At 56.3% G+C, this 24,079-nt stretch overlaps 1 protein-coding gene across 9 annotated transcripts in view, besides 5 other annotated features; it reads right to left on the bottom strand.

The window, feature by feature from the left end:
• The window catches only part of SORCS2 (sortilin related VPS10 domain containing receptor 2), a 550,290-nt gene that overhangs the window by 16,050 nt on the left and 510,161 nt on the right, over window positions 1-24,079 (bottom strand). For all 9 annotated transcript variants that reach the window (XM_005247987.5, XM_011513515.3, XM_011513516.3 and 6 more), the window contains 8 exons: window positions 23,407-23,498; window positions 22,494-22,601; window positions 13,925-14,045; window positions 12,405-12,538; window positions 11,467-11,595; window positions 8,595-8,766; window positions 2,895-3,081; window positions 1,491-1,624 (listed from right to left, as the gene is read on the bottom strand). In XM_005247987.5, coding sequence (XP_005248044.2) covers window positions 1,491-1,624; window positions 2,895-3,081; window positions 8,595-8,766; window positions 11,467-11,595; window positions 12,405-12,538; window positions 13,925-14,045; window positions 22,494-22,601; window positions 23,407-23,498 — 1,077 coding nt within the window. The remainder of the gene's footprint in view (window positions 1-1,490; window positions 1,625-2,894; window positions 3,082-8,594; window positions 8,767-11,466; window positions 11,596-12,404; window positions 12,539-13,924; window positions 14,046-22,493; window positions 22,602-23,406; window positions 23,499-24,079) is intronic.
• Window positions 11,923-12,652: an enhancer, noted in NCBI's record as "H3K4me1 hESC enhancer chr4:7715853-7716582 (GRCh37/hg19 assembly coordinates)". NCBI's record gives its function as "activates a minimal SCP1, AML or CMV promoter by ChIP-STARR-seq in naive H9 embryonic stem cells {active_cell/tissue: H9 hESC(naive)}" and the evidence as "EXISTENCE:reporter gene assay evidence [ECO:0000049][PMID:30033119]".
• Window positions 15,292-15,792: an enhancer, noted in NCBI's record as "H3K4me1 hESC enhancer chr4:7712713-7713213 (GRCh37/hg19 assembly coordinates)". NCBI's record gives its function as "activates a minimal SCP1, AML or CMV promoter by ChIP-STARR-seq in naive H9 embryonic stem cells {active_cell/tissue: H9 hESC(naive)}" and the evidence as "EXISTENCE:reporter gene assay evidence [ECO:0000049][PMID:30033119]".
• Window positions 17,057-17,573: an enhancer, noted in NCBI's record as "H3K4me1 hESC enhancer chr4:7710932-7711448 (GRCh37/hg19 assembly coordinates)". NCBI's record gives its function as "activates a minimal SCP1, AML or CMV promoter by ChIP-STARR-seq in primed H9 embryonic stem cells {active_cell/tissue: H9 hESC(primed)}" and the evidence as "EXISTENCE:reporter gene assay evidence [ECO:0000049][PMID:30033119]".
• Window positions 17,574-18,091: an enhancer, noted in NCBI's record as "H3K4me1 hESC enhancer chr4:7710414-7710931 (GRCh37/hg19 assembly coordinates)". NCBI's record gives its function as "activates a minimal SCP1, AML or CMV promoter by ChIP-STARR-seq in primed H9 embryonic stem cells {active_cell/tissue: H9 hESC(primed)}" and the evidence as "EXISTENCE:reporter gene assay evidence [ECO:0000049][PMID:30033119]".
• Window positions 20,667-21,538: an enhancer, noted in NCBI's record as "H3K4me1 hESC enhancer chr4:7706967-7707838 (GRCh37/hg19 assembly coordinates)". NCBI's record gives its function as "activates a minimal SCP1, AML or CMV promoter by ChIP-STARR-seq in naive H9 embryonic stem cells {active_cell/tissue: H9 hESC(naive)}" and the evidence as "EXISTENCE:reporter gene assay evidence [ECO:0000049][PMID:30033119]".

Below are 24,079 nucleotides of genomic sequence, written 5' to 3'. Positions count from 1 at the left end.
GCAGGGGCACAGCAGGGCTTAGGGGCCTGGCCGAGTGAGGCAGCGGCCGTGGGGGACGCTGGCCTATGGTCGCTGCCTCACTGAGAGCATTGCTGTCCCCTTGTTCCCATCAGCAAATGGGCCCATTATGGACATCCTGTGGTGGCAGCACCCAGGGAGGCATGGGGCGGGCAGCCGGTTCTTTATTTTATTTTATTTTATTTTGAGACAGAGTCTTGTTCTGTTGCCCAGGCTGGAGTGCAGTGGCGCAATCTTGGCTCACTGCAACCTCTGCCTCCTGGGTTCAAGTATTCTCCCACCTCAGCCTCCCATGTAGCTGGGCCTACACATGTATGCACCCCCATGCCCAGCTAATTTTTGTATTTTTAGTAGAGACGGGGTTTCACCATGTTAGCCAGGTTGGTCTCAAACTCCTGATCTCATGGGCACCTGGTTGTAAGCCAACACAGCACGAACTTGAGGTCCCAGCACCCCCTTCCTTCTCAACAGCTCCCCAGGCCTGCCCCCCACGGGCATTTAGGAGGCCTGATGTGGCTGCCGGGCTGGGCCTTCACTCCCTGCCCATGTGATCTCCCATCTCCACACATGGCCACCGCAGCTGTGGATGAGCCATGGCTCTGTCATCCATGGCACCAAGCCAGTGCCCAGCTCAGGACCCAGCCATGGGGATGGTGCACACTCAGCCGGGTGGGCGCCATGTTGCCGCAGAGACAGGAGAGGCCACCCCCATGGGTGTGGATGTGGAGGCAGAGGCTCTGCCAGGTGAAGGGACATGTGTGGAGCATTCAGCTGGAAGTGGCGGAGCCGAGGCCTGAACCCAGACCCTGAGCTCCTTCTCAGACCCTCCCCATTCTAGAGAAACACAATCCAGAGCCCACAGGCCCTCCCCTTGCTGGGGCTCTGTGTCAGGGCCGTCAGCTGCTGGTAGGGGGCTTCCTGCCTGGTGGTGCTGGGCTGTTTGCTGAATGAGTGGAGGATGCCCTTCACTGGGTCTTGCCCCCAGTCCAGGCATTCTGCTAATTTGGGCTCTCTCCTGCTCAAGAACTATCTGTGGCTCCCCACTGCAGACAGGGTACAACCCAGGCCTCTGAGGGAGGCTTCTGAGCCCCCTTGACCTCTTCTTCTGTAAAGCCTTCCCTGAGCCTCTCACTGCAAATGCTCTCTCCTTTCCGGGAGCTCTCATGCAGCCCACCTACCTGCCTCTGTGACTTCTACCACCCCCAACTCAGGTAATCCACTGCGTTCCCATCTCTTTCCCGGGAAAAGGCAGGGTCTAGTCTGACTCATCTGGCACCATTGAGCAGATGGGCCCTGAAAAGGCACCCACGGAGGGTGTGCCCCTCTCAACTGCCCCAGGAGGGGCCCAAGGGTGAGGAGTGCACCCTACACTGGTTCCTTCTGCTGAAAACCTGGGGCCATGCTCTGCCCCACTGTGCAGCTTGTGGGGAGCCTGCGGGAAGAAGGGCTGAGTTGGGGCAAAGCCAGCGCACCTGCAGGCTGTGGCCGATCCACCAGTAGAAGACGGTGAGGTTAGGGTTCAAGGGAAGCAGCACAGCTGTGAGGTTCACCTCCTGGTTGAGGCCAATGACAGGAACCACCTCCAGGTAGAGGGCCTGCAGGGGGGCTGTGGGGACCCAAAAAGGCCAGGGTTAGATGATATCAGGGCATGGGGCATTTCAGAGGCTGCTTAGTGATCACTGTCACCAGCAACTTCATTGCTATCATCACCACCACCACTACCACTATCATCACCACCACCACCACCACCACCATCACCACTACTACCACCATCCATTCCCACCAACACTATCACCACCATCACCAACACCACCACCATCACCACTACTACCACCATCCATTCCCACCAATACTATCACCACCATCACCAACACCACCACCATCACCACTACCACCACCATCACCACTACCACCATCACCTCCACCATCATCACTGCCATCACCACCACCATCACCACCATCACCATCCTCACCAGCACCATCACCACCATCATCACCAACACCACCACCATCACCACTACTACCACCATCCATTCCCACCAATACTATCACCACCATCACCAACACCACCACCATCACCACTACCACCATTATCACCATAACTACCACCATCACCTCCACCATCACCACCATCACCATCCTCACCAGCACTATCACCACCATCACCAACACCACCACCATCACCATCACCACCACCATCCATTCCCACCACTACTATCACCATCACCACCACCCTATCACCACCATCACCACCACCATTGTCACCACCACCACCATCACCACCATCACCATCACCACCACCATCACCACCACCATTGTCACCATTATCACCACCACCATCCATTCCCACCACTACTATCACCATCACCAACACCCTATCACCACCATCATCACCATTACTACCACTACTGTTACCATCATCACCATCACCCTATCACCACCACCACCACCACCATTGTCACCATTATCACCACCACCACCACCACCATCATCACCATCACCAACACCAACGTCACCATCATCACTACCACCTCCACTATAATCATCATTAGTACCATCACCACCACCACCAGTACTGCTATCACCATCACCACCATCACCACCACCACCACGACCATCACCACCACCACCACCACCACCACCATCACCACCACTATCATCAATATCACCACCAGCTACCAGCTCTGCCCTACTATTGTATGGGTCATCAGGGGTGCGGGTTTGAGCCCAGCCTCCCTGCCTCCCTGCCCTCGGGTTCACCGTCCTGAGTACCAGGGGCCTAGAGCAATCCCGGGGGCTTCCCTGTGTTTCCCCCAAAGCCAGGTTCTCTCTCTCAAAGGGAGTGACCTTTGGCCTCAAAGGGGCAATAAACTTACAGTTGACCTGGACAAAGAGCACCGCCTCATCGTGGCCTGCCGTGTTCTCTGCCCTGACGGACACGCGGTAGATGCCGGGGCTCTCGTAGCGGTGCCGGATGGGCTCCCCGGTCAGTGTAAGGTTCACGTACATGGCCTTGAAGCCGTCCCCAAGGTCTACCTGGTACTTGGTAGTCAGGACATCACCCTGCAGAGAAACACCATGTGGCCACTCAGGAGTGGGCCTTGAAGCTGAGGGGCCAGAGTGGTTCATTCACTCACTCACTCACTCACTCATTCATTCATTGCCGCCCTCCCTTCCTTGACATGAGTGGGCTCTGGGGACCCACAGGAGACCGGGCCTGGTTCTGCCCTGGAGATTCTTCCTGGAGTATGGGGCTGACCAAGGCAGCTGGTTTAACTAGGGGCTGTGGCCAAGGGATATTTCAGAACAATCACCCAGCGGCAGAGAGGGAGAGGGAGAGGCCCAAGGGTGTCATCAGAGAGCAGCTGGGGGGCAGTCAGGGCCCGGGGGAGACCCACAGAGGCCCGTGCTAGGGATGGAGCCAGGAAGGTGAGGGGCCTCCCACTGCGAGGAGGGTTTCGGCAGGGGAGAGGAACACATCTGGAAGTGCCTAAGCCGCCTGCCTGGAAACCAAGCAGGATTTTCCTTTCTGGGAAGCTGCGGTTCTTAATTTTCTCTTTCTCAGACCATGCGGTACCAGGAGTGACGCTGAGATGGGGCAGGGTGAGTGCAGAGAGGAGCTCCCACCAACTGCCATCCCCGCGTGGCACCGAGTCACCCAGAGAGGCCGCTCCACCATCTCCTTCCACCTTCCAATAACCGCATTTCCCTCGCAGAGGTGGGGGATTGAGTGAAGGAAACAGGAACTTCTTCGATTTATGGCTCATGATCACATTCTCCCTCCCTCCCTTCCTCCTCTCCTCCCCTTCCCTCTTCCTCCCTCGCCGGCACCAGGGGCACGAGGAAACCGTTTCCTAGTGATGATGGAGGAAACAGCGTGATTACTAACCACTTAGCCATCTTCTCAGTTTATACCAGCCAAACGTTGTAAGTTGATAGAAAACTTTTACGTAAATTCTGTTCACTTAACTTTCTCCACAGATGTGGTAAATTGAGCTGGTCAGTGTCTCCCCAAAATTCACGTCTACCGGGAACCTCAGAATGTGACCTCATTTGGAAATAGGGTCTTTACAGGTGTCATTAGCTAAGATGAGGTCATACTGGATTAGGGTGGGCCCTAAATCCAGTGACAGGCATCTGTGTAAGAGAAAGGAGAGGGAGATTTGGGCACGGACAGAGGCTGCGTGGAGGTGAAGGCAAAGGCAGGAGTGACTCTGTCAGGGGCCAAGGAGTGCCGGGAGCCCTGGAAGCTGGAGGAGGTGCAAATGGATTCTCCTTCGGAGACTTGTGTGGGTTCAGGCCACCCGGCATGAGATAATTTGTTATGGGGTCCCTAGGAAGGAGGCTGCAGGGTGCTCCGTTCTCCCCATTTGACAGGTTAGAAGACTGAGGCTCTCCAAAGCCCAGGACCCAGGAGGCTGCTCGCTGGTTGTGGTTCTTTCTGTTTAAAGGCAGCCTCTCAGGGAGGGGCGGGGAATGAGGGGAAGCGCTCAAGTCTGAGCTGCTTCCACGGAGGGAAGTGTTTCCTGTGCTAATCCTGGGAAGGAGAAGGCATGTGTGACCCAGAGTCAGGACTCGTGATCCGCTCAACCTGGGTGAGGCGCCACCTCTCGGGGCCTTGTGTTCCTGCCTTCAAGGGCTGCGCTGATGCACATTTAACTTCTTAAACATTTCAGTTGGTTAAAATAACTTGTCTTTTTCTCCTGACCACAAAAGTAGTATATTCTCAAGGTAGAAAATAATATAAAATACAAATAGTAAAGCAAAGAAAAAGAACAAAACTAAATCTCACCATAATACCCTCCATTCACATCCTGGTATATTTCATTTATATCCATTATTATTACTGGTGCTTAAAGAAAAATTAAACATTGTCTTCTGAGATAATGGTAGGCTCCTATGTAGTTGTACGGAATGATACAGATCCACCCTGTGTGCCCCGTACCCGGCTCTCCCCAAGGCTAACATCTTGCCAAATGATAGTATCACGACTAGGAGGTTAACACTGATACAGGAAAGAGACAGGACAATTCAGCCAGCACTAGGACCCCACCGGGTGCCCTTTGCAGACACACCCACTTCCGCACATTAGCCCAACTCCATGGTAACCATTAGTCTTTCTCCATTTCTATAACTTTGATAATTTCTATTCTCTTTCTCCATTTCTGTATTTCAGGAGTGTTATATGAATGAGTGGCACAGCAGGGGATCATGTGGGAGTGGCTTTTTTCACTCGGCATAATCCACTTGAGGCTCATCCAGGTTGAAGCAGGTATTACTATTATTTTTTTTTTAAGACGGGATCTCACTCTGTTGCCCAGGCTGGAGTACAGTGGTGGGATCTTGGCTCACTGCAACCTCCGACTCCCAGGTTCAAGTGATTCTTGAGCCTCAGCCTCCCAAGTAGCTGGGATTACAGGCATGCATCACCACACCTGGCTAAGTTTTGTTTTTTTTAGCAGAGACAGGGTTTCGTCATGTTGGCCAGGCTGGTCTCGAACTCCCGACCTCAGCTGATCCACCCACCTCGGCCTCCCAAACTGCTGGGATCACAGGCGTGAGACACCGTGCTGGGCCCTGCTGCAGGTATTAATAATGGATTCCTTCTCACTGCAGCATGGTATCTCAGCATGGGGGCACCCCAGCCTGTGCATTCACCCACTGCAGGGCACCTGGGCGGTTTGAGTTTCTGGCCTTTGTGAATAACACTGCTATGAACAGACACATACAGGTTTTTGTGTGAACAGAAGTCTTCATTACTCTGATATGACCGCCATGAGTGCAAGTGCTCAGTCCTCTGGTCGTTGCATGTTGAGTTCGTTAAGAAACTGCTGAAGTGTTTTCCAGAACACCTGTGGCATTCTCCAGTCTCCCCAGCCATGCGTAAGTGATCCAGTGTCCTTCCCTGCATCCTCACCGGTACTTCATGCTGGCGCTATTTTTAATGTCAGCCATTCTGATAGGTGCGCAGTGATGTCTGGCTGTGGGCTTCCCTGGCGGCTGATGGCGTTTGTCATCTTTTCGTGTGCTTACCTGTCATTTGTCCATTCTCCTGGTGAAACGTCTTTTCAGTTCTGCTCATTTCCTAACTGGACGGTTTGTTTCCTTGCTGTTGAGTGTTCTTCCTCTAGTCTAGGTACTGGTCCTTGTTGGATATGTGGTTTGCAAATACTTTCTCTCACTCTGTAGCTTGCCTTTCATCTTCTTAACATGGGTGTTTCACAGAGCGAAAGTGGCTGATCCTGATGAAGCCCAATTTATCAACTTTCCTTTTGACTGGCTTTCAGTGTGAAGTCTGAGGACTCCTCTCCTAGCCCTAGATATTCTCTCCTGTGGTTTTTCTAAAAGGTTTATGATTTTTACATGCGACATTTAAATCTAGGCAATTTTGAGCTCATTTTTCTATCGGGTGTGAGGTTTAGGTTGAGGTTCATTTTTATTGCATGAATAAGCCCTCCCCTCAGTGAGTTGTTTTGGCACCGACGTCAAACATCCCTCGGCCATATTTATATGGGTTTATTCCTGGGGCCTCTATCAGACCTTATTTTTAATTCTTAAGATATTTACAAAACTTAGACTCCCCTAAACCCAGTGCTGTTTGCAAGATAGGTTGGCCTGTGTGTGTGAGACAGTGTGTGAGTGTGTACAAATCTGCGAGTTTGAGAGTGAATACATGAGCGTGTAAGCATGTGTGTGTCTGTGTGTTTGTGTGTATGTGTGAGCGTGTGTACCAGTGAGTGTGTGCCTCGGACCTGGATCCTACACTCCCACCAGCTTCCCTAGCGTAGCGGGTGGCCTCTTCCCGACAGTAGGTGCACAGTGGGGTGGGGGTTGACTCTCCCCACCAAGAGCATCTTTTGATCACTCTCTTCACTTCCGCCAACTCCAGCTCCTGCCAGCAGAGCAGGCCCAGCAAGGGTCCCGGCCCCCTGGGCGGTGGTAGACTGGCTCCCATAGAGACACTCCGCAGATGCGACTGCACTGCCGAGACGCCAGGCTCTAGGGGGCAGCAGAGGGCCATTTTTTTCCTGGAAGTCGGCCCCGGACGGGCAGCCGCAGCGGGGTCTACTCTGAGGGTCCAAGCGGGACAGGCGGGGCAGCGGCTCTGTCCTCCTGCCGCCCCAAGATGCTGCTGCGAACAGAGGCGCCCCAGGGCTGCCCCTGGCTCCGAGGAGTGTGGGTCCTAGGCCCCATCTCCGTCAGCAGCCTGCACCAGGGAACGGCTCAGGTCTAGGGGCCCCAGACTCAGTCTCTGTCCACGTAGAGTCTAGGGGCCAGGGACCCCAACGCCAGCCCTGCCACTCATTCCCGTGTGGCCTTGGGAGAGTGACTTCTCTGTCCGAGCCTCAGTTTCCCCAGCTATAAAGCAGGTTGGCAAGAGGACGCCACTTGAGGTGGGGCCAGGAGTACAGGCAGTGGCTCGTGCACAGCGCCCGCCACGGAGGCGCTGGGCAAGCACTGCTCTGCGTCGTCTTGGGCCTCAGTTTCCATGTTTGCCTTAGACCAGGCTCCCTGCTTTCCAACTCCAAAGACCTTTGTCACCAACATCCCACCCCACCTTGGCACCGTATTTTGAAGGACATTTAAACAGGACACACATCACTGTGAAGCCGCACTAGCTGCATCTCCCGTACTGTTCACCGGAGAGCCAAGTGTCCAGGAAAGCTGCGTGCCGGGAGAGAGCCCAGGGTCCTAGGCGCTCACCCTCCGGGTGCGACACGGATGCATCGAACCCTCTTTTGCCCTTTTCTGTCATCTCGAATTTTCTGCAATGCTTGTAAGTTTTTCTAGGTTTTGTTTTTGAATTTGCTACAATGAGCATTAGTTTATTCAACAATCAGAAAAATAAGCATGTTACAAATTAATTTAAAAGGACTAGAAGGAAATACAAAAAACTAACAGTTGTTACCACGGAGGACTGGGGGGCTTTTTGAGACATATTTATACTCTTGATATTTTGTGTGTGTTTTCCAAATGTTCTACAATGAACATTCATTATTTTTAACGTCAGAAGAAAATATAACACTTGTTCTAAAGCAAAAAAAGCAAGCCTGGGAGGCTGGGAGGAAATTTCTATCTGTGTTTGTGTGAGTATTTATATCTGTATCTGTCCATGCACACACAGGATTTATTTTTGGTTGTGTAATTATAAGTAATAGCGTTTTTAACTTTCTGTTTTTCATAAGATCCCAAATTAACTAAATCAATATAATTACAGGCTTTAAAAATGTATTACCACCCACGGGAATGAATACATTTTATACCAAGGCCAGTAACTACACCCTCCCCCACCCGATGTGTGAAACCACGTCTCCTTCTGCTCTGCGGGGACCCTAATACCCCCTACGTCCTACTCTATTCTCCTTCATGTCTCTTTCATTGTTAAATGCTGGTCTCGACTCGGGAAGCGGATTTCCAGCCCCCTGCTGCCTCCTTCAGTCTGGACAGGCTGGCTGATGACGATGCCCTGAGCCACTTCTAGGTGGAGGAGACACCCTCACCGTGCCTTCTGCGTGCCCAGTTGGAGCCGCCCCTGCCCGACAGTCCCAGGAGCCTGCTGGGAGGTGCTCACTCACCTGCTCCTGCCGCACCACAAACAGGACGTCCTCTCCAGGCCGCACGGCCACCGCCTCGCCTTGAATGCTGACCTGCAGGCCCCGGGGCGGCGTGAGGGGGCACTGCAGCTGCACCTGACTCTGCTGCATGTCCACCCCACCCTCACACACGTTGGACACCACTTTCCGGTACCTGGATTGACAAGAGAGGGTCAGGGTCCGCTTCAGACAGGTGGCAAGGGATGGGGCCCCATAGTCTGGGGAGGGACGTGCTTGCCACCCAGAGGTGGCACTTGGCTTCCCACCCCTAGGACTCTACTTGCTAACTCCCAGTCACCTCCTGACTCCACCTGATTGCTGTTACAGCCCCATTTTAGAGATGAGAACACTGAGGCTCAGAGGAAGAAGGACTGATGGTGGCAGGATGTGCTTCGGAGGCGCTGGCATCTCCGTGGTCTGATCATATTACTCACAGTAACAGTAACAGCCACCGTTAGTGCTGCAGAGGGGCTGTTTAAGCAGCCAGTTTCAATTTCACGGTCTTGCTGAGAAAGGTGGAGGACAGAGTGCCCAAGAGGGCCTGGGGTCCTGCCTCCACCTCGCCACTGGCTCACAGTGTGGCCGTAACCATGGGCACACACACCCCTCCTCCTGGGCTCCGTCTCCCTGTTCCCTTGAGAGAACTGGATTGGGCGATTCGTGACTAATCACTGCGTTCATGAGAAACCTATTTACTGAGCATCTATTATGGGCCAGGTAGTGGGAATGGGGGTGATCGCATGCAGCCCCTAGATGCTGTGCAGAGCAGACCCTCTAGTGGAGAGGCAGAGGCGGACCTGAGCAGATCACGTCAGAGTGAAACCACAGCTGTGATGGCGCTGGCTGGGGCATCCCTGGGGACCTGGACCCTGACAAAGGGGCTTTCAGCGAGAATGGGAGGATGAGCAGGAGAAGAAAGAGCATCCCAGGCCATGGGAACAACATGTGCAAAGGCCCTAGGGTGGGTCTGAGCCTGGAGGAGGAGCGGGTGTGGCACGAGGCTGGAGAGAGGCCCTGGGCAACCTTTTAGGAGATCCCTAAAAGGGGTGGCCTCATCCAGCTTGCTACTTGTGAAGCTCCCTCAGGCTACACTATGCGTCTGTGAAAGTGGCATTGCTGCCAAGGTGCTGGGGGTACCTGTCTCCCCAAGGCTGATCCCCCCTCTTGCCCTCAGGGCCAAATTCTCCCAGATGGCTCTGCCACTGAATAAGCATTCAGAAGTTGATCATGCACAGGCCCATTTCATTAGTGCTTTGAAAGAAAATACCCTTCTCTAAGGGCCACCCACCCATGGCACCTACAGCGTGCAGATGGTATGAGATGAAATCCTTTGTCTTGATCAAGATCCTGGCTCTGACACTTCAGACAAGAGTCCCTGTTGTCAAGCCCAGGTGGATGTGCAACCACTGCAGCTTCATGATACATAGGTGCATGGGTAGACAGATGGGTAGATAAGTAGATGGATGGATGGATGGATGGACGGTGAATGAATGAATAGATAGATGGTGGATGGATAGATGGATGGGTAGATGGATGGATGGACAGATGGGTGGGTGGATAGTGGATGAATTGATGGGTAGATAGATGGATAGGTGAATGGATGGATAGATTGATGGATGGTGAATGAATAGATGGATGGTGGATGGATAGATGAATGGATGGATGGGTAACTGAATGGATAGATGGATGCATGGATAGTAGTTGAATGCCTGGGAGAATGGAAGGATGAATGGAAAGACGTATGGATGAATGAATGGATGGAGAAATGAACAGATGATGGCTAACTGGATGATGGGTGGATAAATGGGTAGATGGGAGATGAACGAGTGATTGCATGGATGGGTGGGTGGATGGCAGGAGACATGCTGGTGAGGCCAAAGCCTGCAATTTCTGGTCCTGCCTCCTGTTTCCTCAAGTTCCCTCAGGGGAAGTAATGGGGATTTTCTAACAAGCCCAAGGGCTTTTCTCTTCCTCTCTGAAAAATGTCCTCAAAGAGAAATGAGGAAATTGGGACTTTCTGACGGAGCACGTTTGGGACCTCCTAAAGCTGAAGGCTCACAGCTTTTATGTACCTAACATTTTACATGAATTGAATCCTTCATAGCAGTATGTCCAGCCTCTGGTGGAGGAAAAGCATCGTAACTGCTTGCACTTGGTGATGCCTTCCCCTCATGCACAGCTTGTATTCAGCAAACCACAGACTGAAGGAACACCTACTGTGTGTTGTGGAGCTTACAGTTCAGCAAGGAGGACAATTAGGTGAGTGATGACAATAACTGGGATTTGTGCTGTGACAGAGGCAGGCTCGGGGTCAGGAGTGGGTGGTCAGGGAAGGCTTCCTGGAGGAAGTGCCATTTAAGCTGAGACCTGCAGGCAGCAGGAGCACCTCCAGCACCCAAGCCTTGGTGAATGGGGAGAGCCTGGCTTACTGGGCACCGGTAAATGGAGAAGGGTCCTAGCACTGCAGAGGCTCAGAAAGACCAGGGGAAGACGTGCTGCAGCAGGTGTGAGCCATGGGCACCTTGGACCTTTTCTGTCTATTGTTCTCTGTCCAGAGCCAACTCAAGGCAGCTTTCTCCTGGCACTGGCCCATGTGGGCTCAGATGGGAGAACCCTGTGGGTTCCTTTGGCCTGGGAGCTAAGGTCATTCACTCATGATGTCTGGTGACTCATATGAGCACCGCAGCCAGGCTCTGTGCTGTGAGCGTGGGGCATCCTCAACTTTGACCTCTCTTTCCCCGACTCCACTTGGGAGTTGGGAGCTGCAGGCACCAGCCAGGAAGGCGTGGTTTCGGGGCTGCACCACAGCTCTGCCCCCGGATTTAGGCAGGGAGAGGCCCGCACCCACACTCACCCAAGGCTGCTGGTGTAGGTCTGGCCCAGGGCACAGTCGTCAGGCGGGGACAATGGGTTAAACCAGAAGTTGGCAGAGCACTTGTTGGTGCTGGACTCTGAGGAGGAGGAGCGCTCAAATCCGTAGTCGCTGGGAGGAGGGAAGAGTAGTGGTAAGTGACGGGCACAGGTGGGAACCGGAGTCACCCAGGGTTGGGGTGAAATCTGGGGGAGCTGAGAAGGGAACCTCATGTCAAGGGCCTGCTATGCACCCATCTGTGAGGACATCAAGGAACACCCACAGCCCCATCCCAGATGGGCACACAGGGTAACAAGGGAGGCAAAGGGATGCTGTGAACTCAGAGAAACCTGGAGGGCTGCCTGGAGGAGGTGAGCAAATCTCAAAGGATGGACAGAGACAGGTAGGGAAAGAGAGGGAGAGGCACTGCTGGCAGGGCCCAGCCTGAGCAGCACCAGTACAGGTGGAGGAGGCTGCAATGCCAGGGGGCATGATGAGGAGGGGTGAGGTGGCAGGTGGGTGAGCTGTTAGCCAAATTGTCCTGTGGGCACTGGGCAGTCACAGGCAGCTTTTGAGAATAGCAGGGGACAGGTCGGGTGGCTTTCAGCAGAGTCCCTGGATGGAGAAGGGCTGGGGTGGGTGCAGCACGTCCCCAAGATGCCCTGACCTGTTCCTCACTTTCTCCTCCTGCCTGTGAGCAGCCACTGAGAAGGTTTAAAAATGCACCCACAAATTCCTTAAAGCTCCTTCCTGGAGTGTGGGCTGGTCTTGGTGACTTGGTTCTAACAGATGGAATGAGGCAGAAGTGGCAGTGTGCGACTGTGACACCAGGTTATAAAAGGCGCTGAGGCTTCCTCCCTCACTCTGAGGGAAGTGGCCGCCATGCTGTGAGGATGCTCAAGCAGCGCCTGAGGCCTCGTGGCCAGGAGCCCGTCGCTCACCACAGGAAGTCCGAGTCCCGGCACTCGCACACGCGGGACGTGAGCGCCGACGTGAAGCTCCTCCCCTTGATGCACCAGGACGTGGACTTTCTTTTCCGGAAACTTCTCTGCTGGCCCATGATACAGCGGTCGCCCTGCAGCAGGAACATCAGGGTAAGGAGCTGCCTGAGACAGGGCAACTGCTCTACAAGGCCTTGTGCCGCTGAGGCTGCCAGAGCCTGAAGATGGCTGATGGCTCAGGTTACAGATGGGGAAACTGAGGCCCATAATGGGGCGTGACATGTCTGCAGTCAAGTTGGGGAAGCCTCCCTCTCATCCCAACCCATGGGCATTCACTGAGCCCCTCCTGTGTGCAGCCCTGGCTGGGCCCGAGGGGTCGCAGAGCTGCTGGAAGTGCAGCCCTTTTGAGGTTCCCCTCGTCCCCTCAGCTGCTGTGTGGGAGCTGGGCTGAGCCACGCCCTCGAGGGCTCACAGGCACACAGTGGGTCCTCAGGGGACAATCAGGACAAGACAGGCCTACCCCCATCTCCCTGCAACAGCTGCTGTGGCAGTGACAGGGGTGGGGCCAGTGAGGATGCCCGGTGGCCTGTATTCAAGCTCCTAAACCTCCTCCTAGGCCCATCTGAGCACTTCCTTGTGAAATCCAGCTTAAGCAATGCACCCTGCTAAGGCAGTTTGGCAGGCACCGCCCACCCTTGATATCCGATCGCCCTCCCTATCCGATAGGCTTCCTCATCCCCCACTGCCCCCCAGGTGATGTCAAATTCTCTGATGCCTGGTGTTTCCTCTTAGTCAGTTTCCACCCACTGACCTTGGCTTTGAACTCCCATTTGCCCATGCTGAATTCAAGTTGAGCCCAATCTCTCCTTTGAGAGGGTCCCTGTACCCACCGTGATGGTCTTGAGTAAAGTCTTCCACCCCGCGCTTTAACAAGTACCATTAAATCATTTCTTCAACAGGGCCACCCACCCCCGAGCAGTTCCAGGCCCCCACACTCTGAAATCCCAGGCTTCCCCACCACACTGCCAGCAGCACAGCCTGATTGGAACTACAGATGGGCCACTGATGGTCTTTATACTCCTCTTAGTGTCCATATTACACATTTGCTGTAGAAACAGTTATGTGTCTCAATTACAGTGTGGGCTTGCCCCAGACCCCACTCCACACCCAGACCCCAATGTCATGTATGGTACAGGCCTGTGTTACCTTCCTAAGATCTGAACATCCTGAACCCCAAGCATACTGGACTCCATGGGCTGGAGTAGAGACTGTAGCCCCTGTAGCCCCACACTCCCCGAGTGTGGCTGAGGACCCTCAGCCCAGGTAGCTCCATGACCGAGAAGGGTCTGGAAAAGCCCACAGGAGGCCTGGACATCTCAAGGCGCTGGGGATTCCCTGAAGACTTCTTGGAGGCGGGGAGGTGCCCTGCGGCCTTGCAGGGGAGGACTTTGGCAGGCAGAGTGGGCCTGTGTTTGCAGTCTGTACCCCACCTGCCCGATCCCAGCCTCATGCCGGCCCACCTGCAGGTTGGAGAGCTCCCAGGAGCTGTAGTCCTCCTCGCCGCACTGCCTGGAGAATGAGGGCCGGAAGTCCACCTTGACCAGCTCCCAATCGGAGCGGAAGCTGATGTGGCCAAAGACCCTGGGGTGGGAAGAGGAGGGAAGGGAGAGAAAACCACCTTCATTAGGCCTTGTCCTACTGTGCAAATCATGTCCCCTCTGGACTCTGTTCCTACCTGTACCATGGGCACAGATATCCTTCTCCTGCCCTTGCTGGAGATCAGAGCGAGGCTGCCCCGGTCACCGAGCCTGGCCCTGCACACGTGCTCTGTAGGCTTCGGCGTGAATATTCCCACAACTACCACCTGTGATCTATGACTTGTCAATTGCACTGCGTGAGTCGCTCTGGTTGGCCCCCAGTGGCCCCGCTTGATGGACAGGGAAGGAGGCCCAGATCCACAGCAGAGTTGGGAGCCCTTCCACGGCCCCCACAGTGGTCCTTGCATTGTTTTGCGGAATGATCTGTGGTCAGGTGGCTGCATCTGCAGCTGTCTGGCTTCTCCCTGGCTTTCTCCCAGCCTGACCGTGTGAGGGTTCCGTGCTGCAGAAACCCAGCTTTCTATCGCTGGGCCACAGGGCATTTGCTCCCTAGTAGAGGTGGCGATTCAAAGAGAAATAACAAGTCAGCAGGCTCAGCGCAGAGCCCACAGGATGAGCAAGGTTGGCCCGTCGCAGCCTAGGTGGGTGGGGGAAGAGGCGGAAGACAGAATAGGGAGGCTGGCCACTTAGGGTGTCATGTATGGTACAGGCCTGTGTTACCTTCCTAAGATCTGAACATCCTGAACCCCAAGCACACTGGACTCCATGGGCTGGGGTAGAGCCTGTGGCCCCACACTCCCTGAGTGTGGCTGAGGACCCTCAGCCCAGGTAGCTCCATGACCGAGAAGGGTCTAGAAAAGCCCACAGGAGGCCTGGACATCTAAAGGTGCTGGGGATTCCCTGAAGACTTCTTGGAGGTGGGGAGGCACCCTGCGGCATCCATGGGTGCTGGAAGCTATGCATGCACAGCCTGGTAGGCCGGGTCCGCCCGTTTTACAGAATGGAAAGCCGAGGCACAGAGAGGTTGAGTAACTTGCCCAAGGTCACACAGCTTGTTTGTGCTGTTCCTTCTCCCTCCTTGCAGTCAGCAGTCATTGCTGTGTGCCCATCACTCAGAATGGCACTCAGGTGCCTCGCTTTCTCCCTCTCTGGGAGGGCTGCTGCCTGAGTGCCTTCCACTCCATCCCTCAGTACCACACACTTAGGCTCCAAAGACCACCCAGAAGGTGGGCCCAGCCTGCTCTTCCCTGGGCCTTCTCCAGTCCAGCTTGTGGTGCTCCGGCCATATTACCAGAGGCCAAGCATCTGGGTCGGGGAGGTGATGCACGCTGCTCCAGTCTGGTCCCTGTCTGAGCACCCCCAACTGGGGATGGATACTTGGGGTGGCCCATGATGAGCTGAAAGGACAACCCCATTCTAGGGAGGTGTTGAAAGAGGTTTTGTAGGGTATTTCTGAGACATGACAGCTGGGTCTGAGCATCTGAGGCTGATATTTGAAGATTTGGCTCCACGGGGCACCTCTCAGCCAGGCAAGCCTGCGGCGGTCCATGCTTGAATTACATCTGTGACCTCGCATTTGCCTCCACTCTCCAGAACAGTCCCAAGAGGCAGACACTATTGTCTTTGTTTGATGAAACCCTAAGCCTCTGCAAGCTGAGCATGGGGCCTCCCTCTGTCTTAGCTGGACCTTCCCCCCAGGGACCCTGCCTCCCTGTGCTCCCTAAGGCCAGCTCGTCGAGGGAGCAGCCAGGCTGGTTCCATCCCGCATTCCTGCCACGTCGCTGCCAGGCCTCATTCCAGCCAGGCCCCTGGTTCTGGGCTCACAGTCCCATCTGCTTTCTTCTCTGTGCGTGGGGTTCAGGAGCCCCAGACCATTCTTTCTCAGAGGAGTGGGGAAATGGGGCTTGAGCCCTCGGCCTGGGAGCCCTCCTAGCTGCTAGTGGCAACACCCACCAAGGACAGGGGAAGGCCCCCAGGTACGGCTGTGACTCTGCCGCGTCCGTCCGCTTCTGCAGACACTGTTTCCAACAGAGGAATCTTGTGGGCCTGCACGGTGGCCCCGGCTGTGAGTGGTCTTGGCTCCAGGGCACCCGTGATTGGGATGAGGGTGCCATCTGTCTCCAGATGGACCCCACTTGGACGGCCTCAACATTGGAGAGCCCCAACTCAACACACTGGGATCTTCCTTCAACATCGCTGTCCAAACAATGCCTGGGGCATTGGTCTCTTAAACAGCATCTGAGGGTCTTCTCTCACTTAAGAAATGATTTTTTAGGGGAAACTTCTGGATCCCTGAGAGCATCCTCACACTCTCCTGTGGCCTGTGGCATTATGGAAGGTATAGCAGCAGCAACAGCCACTGGTGCATACGGAGCACCCACTGCAGGCCGGGCCCAGGCGTGACCTTGTATTCCCCCATTTCCTCCTTGCCAAGCCCCCTTTTACAGACAAGGAAACTGAGGCTGAGGCAAGGGACCCGGCCAGGGCAGCACAGCTTCAGGCCACCTCCTGGAGGGGCGGCGTTGGAACCCGGGCTGGTGGCTCTGGAGCTGTGAGGCTTTGCGCAGAAACATGGCGGGTACAGAAACATGACACTGGGGCTCCATTGGTCGCAGAGACCCCCAGGAGGCCTCAGTCTCACCGCTGTTCTGAGCTGGGGCAGAGCAGAGAGGCTGGTTTGGTTGACTAATTAACCCCCTGCATGTCCCTGAAGCCCTGCCTTTTATGAAACCTCAACCCTCAGCTGATACCATGAGAAAGAGCTGCCATCTAGTTAATTCTGGGTCTTAGGAAAGAGGTGCCGAAGGGGTCTAGATATTACTTTGCAGGTAACGAGGAAAAAATGGGCCACGCTGCGAGGGGTGAACCATGTAGCCAGGGAAGGCTCTGGGAGCCTCCACTCCACCTCTCGCCCAAGCCCAGGGCCTGGGGACCCCTCCCTGCTCTGAGGCTGCACTGTGGGGAAAGAGAGGCAGGTGAAAGTGACTGGTGCCAGGAAAGTGTCCCAAAAGTTGCCTCTGGCCAGGTTAGAGGTGGCCTTTGGGCAGATTTGTACCAAACAGTTATCCGGGAAGGACAGAGTGGCCGAAAGCTGAGCCTGTGGCTGTGGGAACTCTCCGGCAGGGCAGCTCCCGTACAGACCCCTGCAGAGGGACTTTGAGTCTGACCTGCCAGCGTGTTCCCTCTCCTGCAGTTTGAGTTATTTGTATGTCACTGGGACTGGGAAGCTGTCTGAAGATGCAGCACTGTGAACCAGGGGGTCTGGAGGAACTGTTCTGTTGCTTGAAAAATAACTTAAAAGGTTATAGCACCTGGCTGTGAATTCGGCCATTATCCTTCTGGGATAAAATGCCTCACCTGTGGGTGGGGGATGAAGGCTGGGTCATCTCTGGGGCCTAACCAAGGCTCAGACCTCATGACAGCCGGGGCGAAGGGCTTGGCACCCTGCAGAGACAGGCTCATTCACGGCTCCCGGATGGACAGCACTCCCATCTCTTGGCCAGGTAAGCTGAGGCCCGGAGAAGGCTGTCAACCTCTGTGTGAGGAGTAAGGGCCGCCCTCACCCCTGCACTGCTGGCCCCCCGCGGCTCTGCGGGTTCTGGCCTCAGGAACGGCTTGACCACATGAAAGGCCCACAACACAAACAGAGTGCAGGCAGAGTGCCTGGTGGCGGGACTCCCTTCCTCCCTCACTCCCCATCCCCGTAAAGGCCACAGGAGGTCCTGCAGCTGCAGGAAAAGGCAGGACCATCCCATTCTGTCCCAGACCACGGCCTCCGGGGGCACGAGACTGGGCAAAAGTCATGAAGGATTTTATGCATCCAGGGCCTGGCCAGAGCAGGAATTAACTGTTCAGGGAAAACGGCAAACATCAGGACCCTTAAAGAACAGGAAGGGTGATTATCCCCACCCAATTTTTACAGGACAGGCTCCCAGGGTCCCCATCCTCCCACCACTCCCTCAGGGATGAATTCTTTGAGACGTGTTGGCACCTCTAAAAACGGAGGAATAAATCAATCTGTCTACATTTCTTATGAGAATGGCCTGAAGTCACGTATGAAAACAGCCCGTAGTATGCAGTGGGGCGCTCACTAAAGCTGCGTTGCAGCCCCTGTCGCAGGAGGCCATATTGGTAAAGACGGAGGGAGGACTTGGGGCAGAGGGTCCAGGAAGGGGAAGACGCCCCCCAGACTGTGGGAGGGGAAGGGGCTCACTGTTCTCCCGGGGCGCTGAAGGACAAGACCACCCAGAAGCACCATCGCATGCCATCGAGAACACACGGATACAGGATCAAAGGTCGGCCGGCCAGCGGGACCCACCCGTGGCGGGTACTGGATGTTCAGTGAGACCAGTGAAGGGGGCCCTCGCCTTCTTGGGAATAACGCTCCCACCCACCCGGGACCCCAGCTGGGAAGCAGAGCTGTCCCAAGCATCCCCTCAATCCCACCACAATGCATGGCCTGGGAAGGCCAGCCGGGACCTGTCTGTCTGCTGTGGAGTGGGCGGAAGCCAGGCCTCTATACTAGAATCAGAGTCTAAGCAGGTGATTTCTTGCTCATCACCCAGGAAGCAAGAAGGCCCCAAGCATCACAGGTGAGCATCAGTTGAGGGCTCATTTGCGGCGACCTCGTGGAGTTTAAGTCCCCATGCTACAGACAAGGAAGCCCAGGTCTCTGGAAGGGAAATGTCATTTCCTGGGCACAGACGTTCTGCTTCCCGGAATCCTCCTGACAGCTCCTCAAGCCGACTCATTTCCCAGTTTCGGGGCTGTGGAAACCAAGGTGCAGCGTGTGCAGTCCACTGTCCAGGGACACCAGCCTGGCGAGAAGCATCCTGATTTGGAGACGGGGGCGGAGCTGTGTGAGCTGTGCTGGCTGGGCCCTGGTCCTGGGGGTGATGGGCCCAGCTCACCTCTCCCCAGCCAGGCCCCTGCAGGCGGTGCTTGCACAAGCTCATCCCCATGAGCGTCTGTCTCCACCCCTGTGTCATCCTCACAGGTGCATCACCACCCATTTATTCAAGCCACATTCACTGAGCATCAAGCGCCTCTTCCATGCCTGGTGCTGTGCGTGGCCTGGGGACGCACCAGTGAAGCCAGCAGAACCAGTCCCTCCTGGAGCCTGGGGCAGGGCACAGCCACCAGCAAGGGCAACCCTGCAGATGGGATCAGATCCTCGAAGGGGTGAGGGCCAGGCAGCCCAGGCCTGGTGGCAGGGAAGGCCCTTCTGGGCTGGGACTGAATTGAAGGCGGCAGGAATTCGCGCTGTTGCTGACCCGCTCATCTTAAATACCCTGAGAGGGGTCCACACTCACCACTTCTTCCCTGTCCTTGTGCCCCACGCAATCTCAGTTTCCCGAAACCTGGTTTCCCACCCTGGCTCAGCTGGAACTGATGGCTTCTTGTTGCTAAATCCGACGTCCAGCTTCCATCCTCCTTGGCCAGGAGCTGGGAGGCAGACTAGGTGTCCTCTGAGTGTGAGGACAAGTTCCCGTTCTCCATGATCAGAGGTCCCTAAAGCCAGGGCTGAGTGTGCTGTGTTGCCAACACTCCTGGCACCTCAAACAGCACCTGGCACATAATAGGTGCTCAATAAACGTGCATTGGATGATGGCAGAGCAGAAGAGCATCCTCATAGGGGGTCCCACCTCTGCTCGGCCCGGAGAGGACAGGCTGCTGCCCACAGAGCTGCCCTGGAGTGCCCACATGGGCTGGACTTGGCCACAGGTTTTGCTCAAGGTACCTCCCCTCTCAGAGCCTCAGTTTCTTTAATTGTCAAGCAGCAGAGCTGGTTGAGGGTGGGTGGGGGTGACGGGTGGTGAGCAGGAAAGCAGCAGGGGTCAGTGGTGGTGTCTCCCAGCCACAGCAGCCAGGGGAGCTCAGGGGTTGCGTCTGCCCAACCTCCCCAACAAACGAGGGGACATACTCTAGCCCTGCAGAGTCCAGCCTCATCCCTGCCCAGACAGAGCCCAGCCTCATCCCTGCCCAGACAGAGCCCAGCCTCATCTCTGTCCAGGCAGAGCCCAGCCTCATCCCTGCCCAGGCAGAGCCCAGCCTCATCTCTGTCCAGGCAGAGCCCAGCCTCATCCCTGCCCAGGAGGAGCCCAGCCTCATCCCTGCCCAGGCAGAGCCCAGCCTCATCCCTGTCCAGGCAGAGGCCAGCCTCATCCCTGCCCAGCCTCATCCCTGCCCAGACAGAGCCCAGCCTCATGTCTGTCCAGGCAGAGCCCAGCCTCATCCCTGCCCAGACAGAGCCCAGCCTCATCCCTGCCCAGGCGGAGCCCAGCCTCATCTCTGTCCAGGCAGAGCCCAGCCTCATCCCTGCCCAGCCTCATCCCTGCCCAGACAGAGCCCAGCCTCATCTCTGTCCAGGCAGAGCCCAGCCTCATCCCTGCCCAGACAGAGCCCAGCCTCATCCCTGCCCAGACGGAGCCCAGCCTCATCCCTGCCCAGACGGAGCCCAGCCTCATCCCTGCCCAGACGGAGCCCAGCCTCATCCCTGCCCAGGCGGAGCCCAGCCTCATCCCTGCCCAGGCGGAGCGCAGCCTCATCCCTGCCCAGACGGAGCCCAGCCTCATCCCTGCCCAGACGGAGCCCAGCCTCATCCCTGCCCAGACGGAGCCCAGCCTCTTCTCTGTCCAGGCGGAGCCCAGCCTCATCCCTGCCCAGACAGAGCCCAGCCTCATCTCTGTCCAGGCAGAGCCCAGCCTCATCCCTGCCCAGGCGGAGCCCAGCCTCATCCCTGCCCAGACAGAGCCCAGCCTCATCCCTGTCCAGGCAGAGGCCAGCCTGGGCAGGATGGGCAGCATTGTCCCAGCTGGGCAGTTTCTTTCCAAAACCAGGCCTGCTCCCCACAGCCTGGAGCTGTCCTCCCGTGGCCTCCTGGGAGCTGTGCGCCTGCTGGGGAGGGTGGGGCACATGGAGGGAGATAGAGGCTGGGGTCAGGCACTCTTGGGCGGCTTATCCACGTGGGCCCCTCTGGGGCATTCAGGGGCCAGTGGAAGAGCCACTCAGGGTCGAGGGTGTGAAGGCCCATTGCCAGCTGGAAGGGAAAACTCAGGGTGTGAACTGGTGAATGAGCCAGGCCAGCACTTCCTGCTGAACCCAGCCAGAGTGTAGTCCCAGTCCATAGATCCACACCTGCCACAGAGCACATGGCCACTCCAGCCGAGTGGGCGAGGGTGAGGGGCACAGTGCCCAGCTCTTCTGTGGGAAATGGGTAGGGCAGGTCCTGCCTGCTCTAGAAGGGACAGAGCAGAGGACAAGGTGTTCAAAGTCCAGGTGTCCAATCTCCCTGTGCCTAGGCCTTGAGGTGGAAGAGCTGTGGGCTGTCGCGGCAGCCTCGTGGGGCTACTGTGGCAAATTACCATGAACTCTGCTGGCTTCAGTCATCACACACATGCTCTCCCACCCTGAAGCATTGCTCACATGCTCTCTCAGCGCTCTGGAGGCCAGAAGGCTGAAATCCAGGGGTCGGCAGGGCTGAGCTCCCTCTAGAGGCTCTAGAGGCGGAGGCTTCCTGCCCCTTCCAGCTCCTGGGGGCCCTGGGTGTTCCTGGGCTTGCAGCTGCACAGCTCCACTCCATGCCTCCTCCCTCCCCGGCCTCCTCCCCCAAGGCCTGTGTCTCTGTGTCCTCTTGTAAGGACACAGTCATTGGATCAGGGTCCGCCCTACTCCATGGCCTCATCTTGGCTTAATTACATTGACAATAACCCCATTTCCAAATAAGGTCCCATTCATGGTTCCGGGAAACAGGAATTTGGGACACACTATTCAGATATCTCAGGCATCACCGTGAAAGGCAGGAAGAGGACACGGTGGCCTCACCGTGCCACAGCGCGGGGTCGCAGGAGCCGTTAGACACACAGGCCTCGCCCAGCCTGTGAATCAGCTGGGCTCACAGGGGCCCATGTTCGAGGGCACCCAGAGGAACCTTCACTTCACTGGTTTCTGGGCACGGCTGTCTCCCATTGCGGCCGCAGCGGTGCAGTCGAACGCCGCATGTCCCCACTGTCCTAAGCGTCTCTGCTCCTGGGCCAGAGAGGCTCTGAACGACAGAGGCTCCTGAGGCCCCTTTGCCCCTCATGGTGCCTTTTTTGGCCCAAGCTGGGGCTGAGCAGAAGGAAGCCGGGCAGGGCCAGTGCTGCAGCCTCAGACCCCGGGATGGGTGACGAGAGGGTCACAGCCAGCTCTGCCCTATGATGATCTGTCTGGGTGTCAGGCCCTAAGCCATATGACCTTCATGCCATATGGCTGAGAAAGGTGCCAGTAGATAGCAATACTCATGATATAATCACCGGCTCAAGAGGTGCCGTGGCCATGGTGGAGCCGGCCTGGAGCCTCGGTCCTGTCCTCACCAGCAAGGGGACCTGGGGCAGGTGGCAGATGTCCCTGATTCCCAGGTGGCTGGGGGGTGAAGGACACAGTAGGCCCAGGGAGGCCCAGCATGGCTCTGCCCTGCCACCAGTGCCCACTCCCCGGTCCCCGCACTCACGTCATGACCAGCGTCTCGTCCCCTGGCTCACTCAGCAGCCCGTCCACAAACACCGAGGTGCTGGTGAAGTTGTGCGTGCTCCAGGTGAGGCCCTCGTCCACACTGAACCTGCCAGGAGAAGATCGTCAGCATCTCTGGGGTGGGCTGGAAAGCTCCCTGTGTCTGGGACTCTGCCCGGCGGGTCCAGCTGGAGGGGCGGAGGCTGCACTAGCCAACCTTGCCAGTGCAGGTGATACCACATCTGCTTATGTCACATCTGCTCATATCACATCTGCTTATGTTACATCTGCTTATCTGCATTGTACTGCCCTGGGGGTGTTTTCTGGGAACCACACAGACACTTTGCCTCCCCTGAATGGCCACACCCATGGCCTGAGCTTGGCCTAGGCGTTGCCAGGCCCGTGGTAGGGCCGGTATTGTAGTGCCACCATCTGGCAGTTGAGTAATCTCTTTTTCAGACTACAGTGATACTGGCTTCCTGGCAGCTGCTCCGGCTGTGCCTTCTGGGTCCCGAGTTCACGCCTGCCCTCCCTTCCCCACGACGGCCTTCAGCTGCCAACCCTCTCACCTGGGCATATGCTGCTGGCTTCCTTGTCTGGGTCACCTGGTCCCAATCCCTGCACTTTACTAATTCCTCACCTCCTCGGGGAAGGCCCTCCCTGCTCCCCAGGCTGGGGTGGGGCCTCCCTCTGTGCCTGTCTCCCGATGGCAAGACGAAGTCCATCTCCACGACCCCTCAGGAAAGGTTTGTGAGGTGTGTCCCAGCCCCGGTCTTTAGGATTTAGTGCAGTTGCTCTGTGATCATGTGTCCCCGAGGGGAGGACATTCTGGGGACTAGTCTGAGAGGGTTCCCAGGTGGAAAGAAAGAGCCCCAGCCTGCCCTCCCTGCCCCGGGGCTAGCAGACGCCATTACTTGAGGATCTTCAAAGGGATGGAGGTGTCTTTGATGGCCACGATCACGCCGCCGTGGTCCAGGTACAGGATGTGATGCTCTTCCTCAAACACCTGCAGAGGAGAGTGGTGTGGCTGAGGGCAGGGCCTGAGAAGGTCGGAGGTTGTTCCAGGCTGAGCGGCTCCTGGGAGGAGGGTTGTCAATGTGCAGCCGGGGGTTGTTGGCAGAGGCCAAGGCCGGTCTGAGGGTTCCCTGCATGTCCCGGGCCATCCCCGAGCTTTCCCAGCCCACGCGGACTCAGCGCACCCTGGATGACTGAATGGCGGACAGCAACTTCTACCCTATCGACCTGAACAAGGAAACTGCAAATGAGCACAGCACGCAGCCCTCTCTATGTGAAAACCCAGGCACAAAGAGTGCCAGCAACATGAAGATGAGAAAGAAACAGAAAAATATTTACGATACACAGCCTCAGTCAAAGCAAACCCCAATTTGACATGAAGACTCAGCTCAAGTGCCATTTCCTCCAGGAAGCCCTCCCTGATGCCAGACTGAGTGGGGAGTGGCCTCTGGGCTCCAAGCCCCTGGCCCAACACTTACTATGCTCATCTGTCATTGTCTCTTCAGTCCAAAGCTCCTCAAAGACAGGGCCACTTGTGAGCCTTCTGTGCCCCACAGAGCTCAGCTCAGACCT

Source organism: Homo sapiens, chromosome 4 (assembly GCF_000001405.40).
Source record: "Homo sapiens chromosome 4, GRCh38.p14 Primary Assembly".
NCBI classification, from domain to species: domain Eukaryota; kingdom Metazoa; phylum Chordata; class Mammalia; order Primates; family Hominidae; genus Homo; species Homo sapiens.
The sequence above is the reverse complement of the archived record's forward strand: the minus strand, read 5'-3'. Positions and strand labels throughout refer to the sequence as shown.